At 34.3% G+C, this 15986-nt stretch overlaps 2 long non-coding RNA genes across 2 annotated transcripts in view, besides 1 other annotated feature; one reads left to right on the top strand and one right to left on the bottom strand.

The window, feature by feature from the left end:
• The window catches only part of LOC107986952 (uncharacterized), a 113744-nt gene that overhangs the window by 65802 nt on the left and 31956 nt on the right, over positions 1 to 15986 (top strand). The window lies entirely within an intron of this gene.
• LINC01111 (long intergenic non-protein coding RNA 1111) overlaps positions 7522 to 15986 on the bottom strand; it is a 117703-nt gene continuing 109238 nt past the window's right edge. Inside the window, exons 5-6 of the long non-coding RNA NR_105006.1 lie at positions 13004 to 13078; positions 7522 to 8683 (exon numbers count right to left, since the gene is read on the bottom strand). This is a non-coding gene — a long non-coding RNA (long intergenic non-protein coding RNA 1111). The remainder of the gene's footprint in view (positions 8684 to 13003; positions 13079 to 15986) is intronic.
• Positions 9280 to 9429: an enhancer, noted in NCBI's record as "active region_27544". NCBI's record gives its function as "activates an Ori minimal core promoter by ATAC-STARR-seq in GM12878 lymphoblastoid cells {active_cell/tissue: GM12878}" and the evidence as "EXISTENCE:reporter gene assay evidence [ECO:0000049][PMID:35858748]".

The following is a 15986-nucleotide window of genomic DNA, read 5'->3' as shown; positions in this document are numbered from 1 at the left end:
GTTTGTTGAGGAAATGAGTGAAAAGTAAAATGTTAGAACTGACAGTAATACAGTAAAATGATTTGTTTGAAGTTATGTGCCCAGAAAGTAGTGGAGATGAGAATCAAACCCATGTTTCTTGACTCTGAAATCCAAGGTTTTTCCTGCGTGCTGCTCATGGTGGGGAATGTGCCATTGTTCTGCCTTCCTCTCTCAGGGGATTGGATTCTTCTCTGTCTACCATTCCGATGACGACTGCACCAAAATTTTGCTGCTTTAGCATCTTCACCACGAATCTCTAGTAGTTATTTGTTGTTTCAAAGCTTTAACAAAGCGTAACACCTGGCAGGATATTATAACAACACACAAAAAAAGTGGTGCCAGAAGTTGTTCAAACTGATGCCATAGTGATCCACATACACAAACTGTATTTCCAGCCTTCCTGCTTTGAACAATGTCAATTGATCATACGTTATAGTACTTTTACAAGCATAACTAGTTTCATATAACACACTGTGCCCTTAAATAACAACACAGCAGAATTTCTATTTTGGTTATATAAAGGCAAGAGTCAGAAAAATGCATGTTATTTCCCATTTCTTGGGAAGTGACAGATTCACGATGCGCTTGCACCTGGAAGCTCACATAAAGAACCCAAATCCTTAAGGAGGATTTGGGAAGCTAAAATTCTGTGAGCAAAAACATAGCATCTAAATATTAGCTACTTTAAAGCTAGCCTGGAAGACAGCATACAAAAAAAATGTTAACAACAAAAAGCCTTACTATTATCAACAGCAACAAAACCAAAAAATAAAACAAAACCACACAAGAAAGGAAAAGAGAAGCAAGCGCCTTAAGATTTCAGTCATTGCAATCACTTGAAGGTGAATTTCTCTTCTTTTGTCGTATGATTTGTTTGAGAAATCTTATTTATTATTGTTTTCACTATTTTTTAAGGCTAACCTTTATATGATCAAGAAAGCCATATAAAAATAATCACTTGAGTGGGGATGAATAGCTCTTATGGCATTCTCAATACATGACACAAAATATTTTTTACTGTAGTCATACAATCCTAGAAGACAAGTACTTATAGGGCTGATTAAATCAACTGGGGATTAAATCATATAGACTAAATATCTACTTTTTATATATGGGATGGATATAAGCTTCTAGATTTGAAAATCTTATTGAAAGTAAGGGAAAGGCATATCTTTATGGTTACTACATTTTTTATTCAAAGATGGGAGCCTGCAAGATATTGAGAGAGAAAGAAAGAAAAAATTGACTCTGTGCTCTGTGTTCAGGAAAAAGTGCTTTGGACAAAATAATAATAATAATAATAATAATAATAATAAAAGGTCACAGTTCAAATTAAACTGCCAGGCAGTCTATACATGACCTGCTCATTATATGTTTATTGTTTCTTGACTATGGAAAAATGATCATTATCATCATGGTTTTCACCTGACTTTCAAAAATGAATGCACATTATCTTTTGCATTATCTAAATATAATAGGCTATGTTCCGTGCAGTTGCTAAACTTAAAATGATAGAATGTTCATTTAGCCCGTCTGTCTCACCCATCCCTTTCCCCCTCCTTTCTGTTGGGAGGGAAAGAAATGGGAGACAGTTTTTTTTTTTTCCTTTCCTTTGGCAAGAGGGTAAGCAAGCAGTTGTTTCAGCAATCAATGCCAGTGTCATTTTATGAGTCAGCAAGACACATTGAACGCTCTCTTGGTTAGGGGCTGACTCTATTACTCCCCAGAGCTTTAACCTTCTCTGGCCTAATGCCAGAGGAGCTTGATCAGGTCCCCAAACCTCAGGCGGAGAAGTCCCCATCTCACAGCTCTGCAGAGCTGCCTGTGGTATCTACTTTGTCATACGGGAAATTTGTCTATATGAATAGAAAGTGGTCTCTCATTTCTCACTTATAGCTGGTGTTGAAAAACAGTGGCTTAAAAAAATTCTAATTTCCCAAGCATGTACTGAAATGAAAGTGACAAATTAAATATAATTTTAAAGTACTTCAGTTTACATTTCTATTTATTGTCTTCAACCAAAATGGAAAAAAACAGGTGTTTTGCAGTATGCATCTTAGGTCTGACAATCTAGTTTTTGATGCTCAGGGTTAAATTTAAATCCACATGGCCTGGTTACCAATCTCCACAGTTGCACCCAGGCAGGACTAGGAAAGATTGATGATTGTGATTGTGAGATTAATCCTGTAATGTTTACAAGACTCCTGAGCTGAAGCCTGGTTGGTCGTATCATGCTACCCAGAGAAGGCCGCTTGGCTTGCCAGGGTAATTTCTTCTGATGCAGTAAATAACTAGGCGTAATGAAAATACTCTGATGTATTCCACTGCTTGATTGATGCTCTGCATGTGATACGGTAAAAGCAGTGCACTTCCTATCACAAATTTACATATACAAACCAGCAGAAGACTCATGATAATGTCAGCATCCTGCAGAAGCCCTGGGATGCTACACAATTTTATAGCAGTTATGAATTACTGTTGACCTTTCTGGCCTCTTATACCAGTAGGCTAGACTTGAGCATATTGAAAGTCATCAGTCTGAAGCAGTCATTCTTTACATAATTATGGCTATTTGTGTGGGGGGAGGGCAGTGTTTCTTTTATTGTTAAGAATTAGCATTAAGGCATAGCAGTGCTGTGACCTGCCACATTCTCTGCTGCTTTATACACGTTTTAATAAAAGCAGGCAAAAAGACACTAAAAATACTTCAACATATTTTCAAAGCACAATCATACTGAATTAAAAATGCTAACTACTTTTCAATATTTTTTTTCCTAATTGGAGAAAAATGATGCTGGCAGCTTGCATTCATTTTTTTAATGTAGTTACATTTAAATTTTTTAAAAAAATGTTTTGTAATACTTAAGCCAAATGTTCGTATTAAATTTATGTGCCTTTGAGCTGGGAAAATAGTTGGTAAGACCAAAGACAACTTTTGAGTCCATATATAGATTAAATTTTTGAATTCATGTAGATGTATTACTGAACGCAGCTCCATACTTCATACTAAATATTTGAATAATCAGGCTTTCAGAACATCACTAAACACAGCTCCTTATTATCATTTGCATTTTAATATTCTTAAAATTATTAGACTAAGGGAAATGTTGTTGATACATTACAGCATTTCCTCTAAATGTGTGATTATGTTAATAAGTTTTCAATCAGTATCCTAGCCTGACACCATAAGAAAATTTATGCAAAGTTCATACCCTGTCAGGGCCTTTAATCAGGACCATTTATTAGAGCCCTGCCTTCTTTGATGGTTGCTGCTGCCTTTATTAAATATACTGACTTGGCCATCTGAAGAAAAGGACAATAAAAGGTTACTGGGGATGAAAGCATAAATGCTATTTGCTCATGTTTCCTTTACAGACACTTCTTCAATAATTAAGGAAGGGCTTTCTCTGGCATTTTAGGCTTTTGAAGTGCATATCAAACATAACAGTTCTTGTTTTTATGGAATGCTTAATACTTACACTTAAACACAAGACTTAAACTAACTTAGAGATTGTAAGCACAGGAATATCTATCTACCCATCTATATGTACATGTGCATACACACACACACACATATATATATTTCTACCAAAAAATCACAAGCTCGTCAAGTATGTGTTTTTACATTACCAGATTTTTCTCTAAGGAAAACAGATATGCTTTAAGTAACACAGAAAATAATTAAATTAAAATGATGCTCCTAGTTTTTGGTATCAACGATGGATATCTTTTTTTTCCTTCTTTTATTTTTTCCATATAGGAACTTAAGTGGAACTGTGACTCTAGTATGTAAAATTGTGAATTTGACAAAAACAGTTTTCAATAGAAAAAGTGTGATTTTTAGCTCCTGACATTAGCACTAGTGATTTTAAACAATTAGTTAATACACTCCCTATACATTTATAGAAGGGTTGAAATTGGCATGAACAGCACCATTTTTTTTCTGGATTACATGCAGAGAAAAACAAAACAAACAGAAGCCCTAGCTAAGCAGTATTGACAACCTGGGGTTTGGATACAGATTCAATATGAGAAAACAGACTCACTTCAATGAAATACAAATAAACAACCAATTCTGTTTTAACATGTCTAAATAGGTAGTAGGTGACTGACAGGCTTGCGTCTCCTAGGAAAGCCATTAGTTGAGAACTTGATAGGAAAACGTTTGATTTGAATGCACGTGGCATTTCCCCTCAGGGGGTGAGCTGAGTGGTAGAGGGGGAGTCACTGAATATGCCTGCTGGGCTATACCCAAGAAAATGAAATCTGTAGGGTACCATAATACTAACAACTGTATAACTCTATCATCAATTTCGAAGGCTTAGTAATTATAGTAGTCTGCTGATTGCTCATTTTGCTTTTTTCTCACCTTCCTTAAATCTCACTCGTTTTGCCTTCCATTCAAATTCTAAGGGCTTTTCTTATAACTAGAATGTTGTCCATCCTCAAGTAAAAATTAGTTTTCAGATTTACGTTTATATTTGCTGATTACAAAAATTATTCATGACCCGCCTAAGGTAACTGTTAAAATGTTTATTTAAAAAAAATGATTTGTTACATAAAATTTGGTAAGTGAATTGATTATTATACACTTTTCAAAAATTTTCTCCCCAATTAGCATGGTAATCCATATATATTTATTCGAGTTTATAAACCACAATTCCTCAGCCTATAAGAAAGTTGCTCTGAATTTTTGTTTTTTGGATTAGTGATGCTTGTTATATTTTTTCTCTGAAAAAAATACACAGACTGCTAATTTGGATTTAACAATGTATAAAAATAAATACATTGTTGGCAATATTGACAATTTTTTGGGACCCAGAAATTTATAACAAGTTATAGTGTTAATTATGCCATAAATTTAAGCATTGGTGCACAAGAATTTGTATTCAAGGAAACTCTGAGTTAATCATATTTGTGTAGGAAAAAAAGTTAAAGAAAATCTTAGTAAATGAACCCTTTGACACCACATATGTTTAATTTTATGCATATCTTTCTAATATACTGGATCATGTAACAATTATTTTCTCCTAGTGCTGGTCTATCTTTCACCCCTCCCTTCTTACCTTCATCTTGCTAATATGGACACACACACACACACACACACACACACACACACACACCCCGCAGGCCAACCAAATGAATCAGGTACTGTCTATTGGCTTGAAGAAAGAAATATGGAGAATGCATCTTTAAGCACATCAAAACAACCTATAATGCTTCTGTGTTATTATTTTCAATATATTATTATAGAGTATTGAATTACTATTTTACTTACATTGGCGTTGAAAATATATATGTCTTTGGCTTTATCAAATAAAAAGGAATATGACACTTCAATTCACAGGGAAAAATGCAGAGAAAATACATGAATATTAAAACTAATAAACCTTGCTGGCAAGATATACATTTCTGGCATTAGGTTTTTTTCCTAGCACTCTGTATATCTGGACAAATATTCACAATATTTCTAAATATGTATATGTATAGGGAATGCATGTGCACGTAGCTGTTCCTCTCCCTTCCCCCTTCCATATGTTGGAGTCTTATGAGGTGAACAATAAGAATGAAAATCAGCTTCTGCAAAAGGCAGCAGCAATCCCATGATTCCATCTGAGCCCATCACTTAACATATCATTCATAATGCTAGCCTGCTCCCATCATCCTTGCCCTGTCAGTAGTATCTTTCTTCATTTTCTTCTGCTACTCATTTCCAAGAAAGTGGAACCACTGTATCATTTACTGTCCACAACCTAAGCTGCTGATTTAAGGGTTGATTTGTTATTTTCCATAATGTCATGTACAATTCTTTTTTTATTTCAATGCAAAGTTTAAGTTGAAGAAAAGTCTTAGATAAATTTGACAGTGGAAGGTTTGGATAAGATTAAATTTATCTATAGCTTTGAATGGCTCTATATGGTTTTAAGCATTTTAAAAGATTTAAATAAGTGTTTTATGGTAAGCAGTCCTTTTTCCCTTTCAAGACTGTTACACATTAAGTGGACAAAACAAATGGCCTAAGATATCTTTAGCATGAGTTAAAGGAAATCTTTCTTATCACTGAAAATTGGTGACTCAAAAATGTCTATAATGAGAAGGAAAAACATTTATTCACTATATCCTGAAATAGGTATTGTCCCATTATGTCTAACAAGGCCTCCTGAAGGCAAATTCGTTATAATTTGTATTTTTTCTTATTATTTTTCACAGTGGACAGTGATGACTCTCTGACTTAAAACCTAATCACCAGTGCCTATTAAATTTGGGTTTATATGTTGCTGAAGATAGAACTGATTATCATAGCGAATGAAATACTTGTTTGGCCTATTCCCAGAGGGCAAAAAGTCATTCTTCAAGGTGATGCATCTCATTTGAGGAATACATTAACAATTGAAGGCAGTTAAAAATACATGTGAACTCCCAGTGAGGCAAATCTGAGGTTGACCACATATATTTACTGACTGACTCTTGCCTCATTCAGGGAGGAAAACTATGGTATGGAAGGCTGATTTCTGCAACATACTAGACTTTAATTTACAACTGTAACGTGGCATGTAGATCATGTGCGCTTAGAAAATATTTAAGTATTATCATTCTGTACAGGTTTGTATGCTTTTATATATCATGAATGTCATAGAAAAATATATTGAAAAAATGAGTGCTAACAGCATTAAAAGTCAATATGTTTGGTTAAAATAAGCCTCTCATTTCAAATATGAGACTTTGAACAACTCACTCTGACTCAAATAATATCAATGCAATTGTGTAAGCATGGATTCAAAAGCTTAGGAGAAAATACTCAAAACCTAAATTATTAAAAAAGACAATTTGGTAAAATGAAACAGGTTAGATAATGATTTTCTAAATTAGATGGACATCTATAGTCAAATAAATAGGATATGGGGATGTGGTATAAATAAAAAAACGACCAATGTCAATTAATAACATTTTGCATTTTTGCTTTGCTAATTTGGTACAAACATACCAGTATTTAGATGTGAAATTATAATGCACTAAAGAAAAATAAGACATAATTCAAGTTTAAGCATATACTTTTTTTATTGCCCCTAAAATATAACAAGTGTAAAGAAACTCTAGGAATCTTCATAATTTTCAGATAAACATATTACTTCCCATAGCAATAGACTACAAAGAAGTGCCAGCAGTGAACTAATTTACTGGTAAGCAAATTCAAGAAAAGTAAACATTTGTAAATTTGTAAAGTAAAAACATAGTAAAAAAATCACAATGAGAAAAAAAAAATCCCCTTTTACATGTAGCATTTTCTCAGAATGCTTTCTTATACATTACCTTATTTAGTTACCACAAGAACTCTAGCAGGTGGACAGAGATGTACCATTGGTCTGCAAACTGATTTTTAAAGAGGATGCACAACTCACCCAACATCTGGGAGCCCGAAAGTGCTGGGGATGGGACTCAAGTTCTATCTAGTCTTCATACTTCTAGCTCAGTGGTCATTCTCCTAAACCACACTGCTCCTTTTTTTTTTTTTTTTTTTTTTTTTTGTCAAGTAAAGGGACTGTGAACATACTTCACTCAGTATGATGTATAGGTTTATTGGTAGAGTGACACAACAGAGCAGTGAAGTGCAATGAAGTCATGCATAAAGCTGTATAAGAAATATGTATATTGAAGTCCCATTTCATGAAGGTACTGAGGCCATGTGTTTTCCTATATTATTTATGTGCACATTGCTATTCCTATATTATTATTATTGTTATTATTGTTTACCTTCTTTGATGCACCATATTGTTTTAAATAAATTGTGCCACAGGCCATATGAAACAAGAATGGTGCACTTTGATTAAAAAAATAGCGTTATCTAGGTTCAAGTGCTAAACTTCTCCCTTGCCACAACCTGAGGGCATTGCAGGTTCATGATGGAGGGAATGCATTTCTGTCTCTGGGGAGGGCATCCTTTTCAGCTGATTTTAGAGCTGAAATAACAGGAGTTTCAGAGGAAGCTTCTGCCCTTTCATTCAGCTGCCTGTAAAGTGTTGTGAAAGCTGAGAAGAGAAATGGCAGTGATTGAGGATTTTTAAAAGTGAGGGGGAAAGAGGAAACAACCGAACAGGCTCCCACTGCCCTGAATGAAATCTACTGGTTGGACGTTCTGTTTGATTTTTAGAAGCCTGACATTTCCTAATTCATTTGAAGTCATTAAAAAGAATATAACAATTTTGAAATGAAAGGAAAAATACCAGAGAATACTAAAAGATCTTCAAATATGGCATTATTTGCCAGTTCTATTTTTCCATGTGCATTCAAATCTGATCTTATATTTCAACTTACTTTTAAGAACCAGATGTTAGATTTTTCACCATTTTGCCTGTTAATTTATAATATTAAAATATTTAATAGTTATTTCCAGTTTAAAAGGCCATTAAGGAAGTTGATCATACTACATTACCTCTCAAGTTAATTTAAAAAACTATATTATAGTGATAGCATGACATTATTTTTAAAAATAAATTTAGGAATACCTGAGAAGTAATTTCTATGAAACACATTAAATAAAGATAATGTTTAAAGACAATAAAGGTCAGTGTAGCATATTATTTAAGAATGTGGGCTCTGGAATCAAATGACTAGATTTAAATCTTGGCATCTGACATCCCACTCTGTGCTTCAAGTTTTTGACCTGTGAAATGAGAGAAAGTATAAAATTATATTTCATGAAATTGTTGTGAGAATTTCATGCAAATATTTTGAACAGTGTTTGGAATGTATAAAATACTTGATATGCATTAGTTATTGTTTTAAGTAAGTTTTTTAATGGTGTTATGGTACAATACAGTCTAATATATACATGTTCTAAGAAAAGGCAGGAGTTTTAGAGATTCTAGAAAGAAGTGTGGTTCAGGCAGTTTACAATTAAAGAAGGAGGGGAGTGATTCAAGCTTTGGAGTCAGAGCCCTGACTCTTTTAGATTTTTAACTTTGGTTTAGCTACTCTTAAGCCTGCTTCTTCTCTGTAAAATGGAATGATAATATTAATTATACAGTTTTTTTTTCTTTTTTAGCAGGAGAGATGTTAGTATATATAATAAGCCAGTGCCTGGAGATAGGAGGCCTTTGAGATATGGTTGTTGTAGTATTGCTGGTGGTGGTGGTGCTCAAAGAGGCGGTGCTCAAATACAAGAAAGGAAGAAGTGTGGTGGAGATACACAGCACATAACATATGAAAATCACTTGCAAAACTGAAGTTAAATTTTTAGTAAGATTCATTAGCTCAAACAGTTGATGCTTAATTTAGCTCAGCTTAGTAGTCATGTTCTACTGAGGTCAAACAGCCGAAAATTGGTGTTAGAGAGGTTGATTTTGTGGCAGCACCAGGGATAGCTCCCAGTAGCCCTCAGAAAAAACAGACCACTTCCACTTCCTCTCTCAAGTCTCTGCTTAGGCTTTCAAAAGTTAGGTTCCTATTCAACATAGTACTTGATGTCCTAGCCAGAGAAATCAGGCAAGAGAAAGAAATAAAAGGCATCCAATAGGAAAAGAAGAAGTCAAACTATCTTTGTTTTCTGATTATATAATCCTCTACTACAAAATCCTAAATACTCCACCAAAAGGCTTCTAGACTAATAAATGACTTCAATAAAGTTTCAGAATACAAAATCAATGTATGAAAATTAGTAGCAGCTCTATACACCAATAACATTAAAGCTGAGAGTCAAATCAAGACCACAATCCCATTTACAATGGCCACACAAAATATAAAATATCTAGGTATAGAGCTAACCAAGGAGGTAAAAGATCTCTGCAAGGAGAACTACAAAACACTGAGGAAAGAAATCAGAGATGAAACAAATAAATGGAAAAACATTCCACCCTCATGGATTGGAATAATCAATATTGTTAAATGGCTGTACTGCCCAAAGCAATTTACAGATTCCATGCTATTCCTATCAAACTCCCAACGTCATTTTTCACAGAATAAAAACTATTCTAAAATGTATATGGAACTAAAAAGGAGCCTGAATAGCCTAAGCAATCCCAAGCAAAAACAACAAAGCCAGAGGCATCACATTATCATACTTCAAACTATACCATAGGGCAACAGTAACCAAAACAGCATGATACTGATACAGAAACATAGACCAGTGGAATGGAATAAAGAACCTAGAAACAAAGCCACATAACGTAAAACCAACTGATCTTCAACAAAGTTGAAACAAAACAAACACTAGGGAAAAGATTCCCTATTCAGTAAATGGTGCTGGGATAACTAGCTAGCCATATGCAGGAGAATAAAAGTGGGCTTCTACCTTTCACTGCATACAAAAATTAACTCAAGTTGATCAAAGACTTAAATGTAAGACCTCAAATTATAAAAATCCTAGAAGAAAAACTAGGAAGTAGTCTTCTAAACATTGGCCTTGGCAAATAATTTATGACTAAGTCCTCAAAAGCAAACACAATAAAAATAAAAATTAACAATTAGAACCTAATTAAACTAAAGAGCTTCTTTTGCACAGCAAAAGAAACTATCAACAGAGTAAACAGACAACCTACAGAATGAGAGAAAATAATCGCAAACTATACATCTGACAAAGGTCTAATATCTAGAATATTTAAGGAACCTAAACAAATCAACATGCAGAAAACACATAAACCCTAAAAAATAGACAAAGGATATGAATAGGCGTTTCTCAGTAAAAGACATACATGTGGCCAAAAAACATGTAAAAAGATGCTCGTCATCACTGATCTTCAGAGAAATGCAAATCAAAACCACAATGAGATACCACCTCACATCAGTCAGAATGGCTATCATTAAAAAGGCAAAAATAACAGGTGCTGGTGAGGATGCAGAGAAATGGGAACTCCTATACACTGTTTGTGGGAATGTAAATTAGTTCAGTCCCTGTGGAAAGCTGCCTGGAGATTTCTGAAGGAACTAAAAATAGAACTCCCATTTGATCTAGCAATCAATCTCATTACTGGGTGTATATCCAAAAGAAAACAAATACTTCTACCAAAATGACCATGCACTCATACGTTCATCACAGCGTTATTCACTGAGACAATGATATAGAGTCAACCTATGTGCCAATCAGTGGTGGACTGGATAAATAAAATATGGTACATGGGATATTATGCAGCCATAAAAAATGAAATCATGTCTTTTGCCACAGCATGGATGGAGCTGGAGGCCATTATCCTAAGTGAATTAATGCAGAAACAGAAAAGCAAATACCACATGTTCTCACTTATAAGTGGAGCTAAACACTGGGTACACACAGATATAAACATGGAAACAATAGGCACAGGGGACTACTAGAGAGGGTAGTGCAGAAGAGGGGCATGGATTGAAAAACTGCATGTTGAGTGCTATGCTCACTACCTGGGTGATGGGATCCATATACCTCAAACCATGGCATCATGCAATATACCCATGTAAGTAACAAACTTGCACATATACCCCCAAATCTAACATAAAAGTTGAAATTATTTAAAAAGAAAACAAATTATAGAAGGTTAGATTCCCTTTAAGACAATTCCCAACACTGATAAAGACCAAATTTAATCCTTTATCTACCCAGGAGTTTCAGTGTTGAAGGGATGACCATGCTATGGCCTATGGCTAGATGGAAGACAAGGAATACATTTATGTCTGGCTGGGTGAGAGCTGTTTCTTTTTTTCTTTTCTTTTTTTTTTCCTTGACATGGAGTCTTGCTCTGTCACTCAGACTAGAGTGCAGTGGCAAGATCTTGGCTCACTGCAATCTCTGCCTCTCCGGTTCAAGCAATTCTCCCTGTCTCAGCCTCCTGAGTAGCTGGAATTACAGGCACCCAACACCATGCCCGGCTAATTTTTGTATTTTTTTTTTTAGTAGAGATGGGTTTTCACCATGTTGGCCAGGCTGGTCTTGAACTCCCGACCTCAGGTGATCTGTCCATCTCGGCCTCCCAAAGTGTTGGGATTACAGGCATGAGCCACCACTTCTAGCCGAGAGCTGTTTCTTAAGCATCATCATAATTCTTTTTGGTCGTCTTATTCCTTTAGGTTGGTGGATTTTCAGGGCTAATTTCACAGCACACAATTGTGTTAGGATCTGTTTTGGGGTATTTTGCAAGAAACTGAATTTAATAAGCAAATCAGAGAAGATTGTATATTATGATAGAATTAAAAATAAAAAAACTCAGAAAAAACATATTGCTTAGAAATACATACAAATGCAGTAAAAGTGTAAAAAACGAGAATATTCAACACAAAATTCAAAATAGTGATACCTCTATAAGGTGGCAATTGGATCAAATCAGGAAACATACTAGTAGTTTCAAATGCATTAATTGTATTTTATTTTTTAGACTGGATCATAAGTTTATTGGGTAATATTTTCAGAATTACTAAAATTATCTCAGGCAACTGCTTCCTTCTTTGCTTTATCACAAAAATTACTTTTATCTCTATCACTCCATGTAAGACAATGTGGGGAAGCATTGTGACCATATGTCCAGGTATACCCAAAGGTACTTTTTCACCTCAATTTCATCAAGCTGGCTTCTGGTGCATCAATTTGCCCTTATGTCAATTCACTATTTCAAAAATATTTGTCAACAATTGTGCTAATAGTAAAAAGGCTTATCATATTTACCACTTATTACTGTGTAAGAAACTCACTGGCCCATATGCCTGAAACTTTTGAATAACTGAAATCTGAACTCACTGCTAAGAGAGGAGTTCACTTCTATTGTTATCTTTCTACAATTTTTGGTGACATAACCTTTAAGTATAATTTAACTGTATACAATTATGACTCCTTCCAGAGCTGACTGTGGGACAGAGGATTCTCTATTTCTTTTTTCTTCTTTGGTTTGTTTTGTTTTCCCCATATTTTTGAATGCTTGTGGCTTATGACCTTGTCTTTCTTTGCTTTGAAGCTCTTAACAAATCAATTGGGCTCATTGCCCAGAGAGATTGGAATTGAAAGATGAGTAGAAAAATTAGTACCCACCTTTGATCCAAGGGCCTTTTCAGGGACTAGCTTCTCATAAAAGATCAGATTGGTGGGTTTTCAGTAAACAGTATCCTGAAATTGCAGAAAGAATTCCTAAGTTCAAGTATAAACTCCAAATATTAACAAGTGCCTAAGACCCTCGCTAGGTTGCTTAACTTCTCGTGGTCTCTGTTTACTCCTTTGTAAAACTGAGCGACAATAACAATCGTCATTTTTTCCTTAATGTTAAAATTAGTGAAATAATTTAAAAAGTTTTGTGAATAGCCAATTGTCATACTAATGCACAATATTAATATTATCCTCAACTTCTCTCTATTCCTCACTTAATTTATCTAGTGACTCACAAAGTCTTGTCTATATGACTTTTTAAATACCTTTAGAACAAGTCCACTTCTCTCTGCTATTACCACAACCTAGTGGAAGCTACCATTTTCTCCCTACCAGAGAGCTTATGGTTGTAGCTTCCTGTCTGCCCTTCCTGTTCCTTATCGCCATGCAGTTCATTCTCCAAAGTGGAGTCAGAGAGATCTTTTAAGAAATGCAAATCTGATTATAACACTCTTCTGCTTAAAACCCTTCACTGGCATCCCATTGTTATCAATAAAGACGAAAACATTAAGTGGGTTTAAAAACTCCGCATGGTCTACTCCAACCTACTTTTCCTGCTTCATCTCTCTCCATAGTGCCCCTCAATTTTTGCATTACAATATCATGAACACATAGCCAAGATTTTTAAAAAAAGACCACTGCATTAACCACATTCTATGTATCACACACACTAATTCAGAAGTAAGATTTTAAAATGAAACAAAATGCGAGAAAAAGATTAGATTATAAATACTGGGGACACTGATGAGTCTCTGCATATTGTTATTTTACTGTTGCCCTATTTTCTTTAACTCAAAAACATTTCAAAGAAAATTCACAGGACAATATGTTTTAGGAAAGTATTTGAGAGTGAAGTAGAAGGCACCTTGATGGATGGGCTTGAGAAAAATTTCATAAGCTCAAGAATATTGACAGAATGACATTTTACTCTTTCAAGTAGTACTTATTTCTAGGTAATGGGTAGGGAAATTTAGTATGTTGCCTGTCTTTTCTAAAACATTTTTTTATGCTTTGACATGTTGAGTTGGATTGATTCACCTGTGTAATTGAATAGTATAATTTGGCCTTAGTGTAATTGGTCTTCTCTTTGAATTCTCATCTGACAGAACAGATAAATTATTAGTTTGATTCCGTCTTCTACTCCCACACAGATAATAACATATGTAAATTTTTCCTGGAAATTCACTTATTAACGATATGCATATATAAACATGCACATGAAATCTAATTATATCTACATATCTTTCTCCCTCTGTCTCTACATATATATATATACATGTATGCATAAACATATATGTATATGTACATTCATTCATGTGTGTAAAACATACATAAATTAAGTTTTAATTCATATTGATTACTTTTGTTAATAACAATTTTATTACATTTTATAGGTATCCACTAGTATTTTTAAGATGTAAACATAATATAAGCAAGAAAGATGGTTAAGATTGCTTTTTTTGCATATTCTTAATAATTATATCAGTCAATCTGAAAAATGTATGTCTTCTTATTCAAGTTATATGCAATCCACAAAGTTAAAATTAGCCTTGTTTCCACATGTCTTCCTTTTCTAATCTCTGTGTCTTTCTGATTACTTTCTGAGAAACAAACCTGATGGTGTCACTTTCTTGTTTTATGAGTCTTCCTGGCTCCACATTACCTAAGGGAAAAAGACCAAACTGATTTGTCTTTGGAATCTCACCCAGCTTTAACATCTCTTGCCGTTCTCCTCTTATACACTTCAAATGTCAGTCACAATAAGCTTCTCACTAGTTTCCATGCAAGATTTGTCTTGTCATGACTTGGAGTTTTTATATTCTATTTTCTCTTCCAGGAATATCCTTATCTTCTTTTATATCTAGAAAACTATTATTTATCCTTTAAGGCCCAGTTAAACGTCACTTTATTTCTGTAAACGTTCTCTTCATTATGTTTACTGGAGTGAGTTGATCCTTCTTTTCTGGAACACTCAGTTTATACCATTATTAAATCACTTGCCGATTTATGTTGCAATCATTTATTAACTTGTTTCTCTAACTCTTGATTGTGACTTAAAAGAAATAAAAGGGATGTAGAGATCCCATATTAGGATACAATTAAGTTCATAAAACAAAACAAATAAGTGGACAAAAGTAACCATATAGCTTAAACAAGATAGGTTTTCTTTCATCCATTTGATATAAGCAGTTCACGGTTGACAGGTCAACTCCGCAATGTCAGGACATAGCTCCTTTGACTTTTTCCTCTTCTATCTTTTAACTGTTGCCCCCATCTTGTCATCTAGGACAGTTTCTTTCCCTTCTGTCATTCTGAAATTGGCCAATCTGAAAAATGTGTATTTGTTCATGTTCAAATTATGTTATGTTTCATGAAGTTAAAATTATTTTTCATTACATCAATATTTCAGCCAGTGAGAGAACAGGGGAAAGGTGAGGGATGGGTGCAAGATCTCAAATTTGACTAGAGTTCACTTCCATATTTTTCCACTCAAAACACATATACTTCACTTCCATCACATTGGTTTGGAAGCTGGGAGATAAAGTCTTATATTAGCTGTCAATCTTTGGCCACTGAAAATACTACAACTATAAAAGCAGAGAACAAATACTGGGAGACTCTACCAGTTTCTATCATAAAATACATCTTTGATTTCTTAATGCCTAGCACAGTGTTGTTTCACATTATGAATCAGGAAATACGTGGTAAATGAATAGATGAATTGCAAAAATCAGCAAATTAGAACTGCAATGAATCTATAAGTCATCTACTACTACCTTCTCATTTCATAATGATGCAGCTGAAGAACTTGTGATTTTTCTGAATTTATTATAATAGTTGGTATTGTATGATTAGGAGCTTATTAGCAATT

This window comes from Homo sapiens, chromosome 8 (assembly GCF_000001405.40).
Source record: "Homo sapiens chromosome 8, GRCh38.p14 Primary Assembly".
In the NCBI taxonomy this organism is placed as follows: domain Eukaryota; kingdom Metazoa; phylum Chordata; class Mammalia; order Primates; family Hominidae; genus Homo; species Homo sapiens.
Note: the sequence above shows the minus strand (reverse complement) of the source record. Positions and strands in the feature narration are given on the sequence as shown.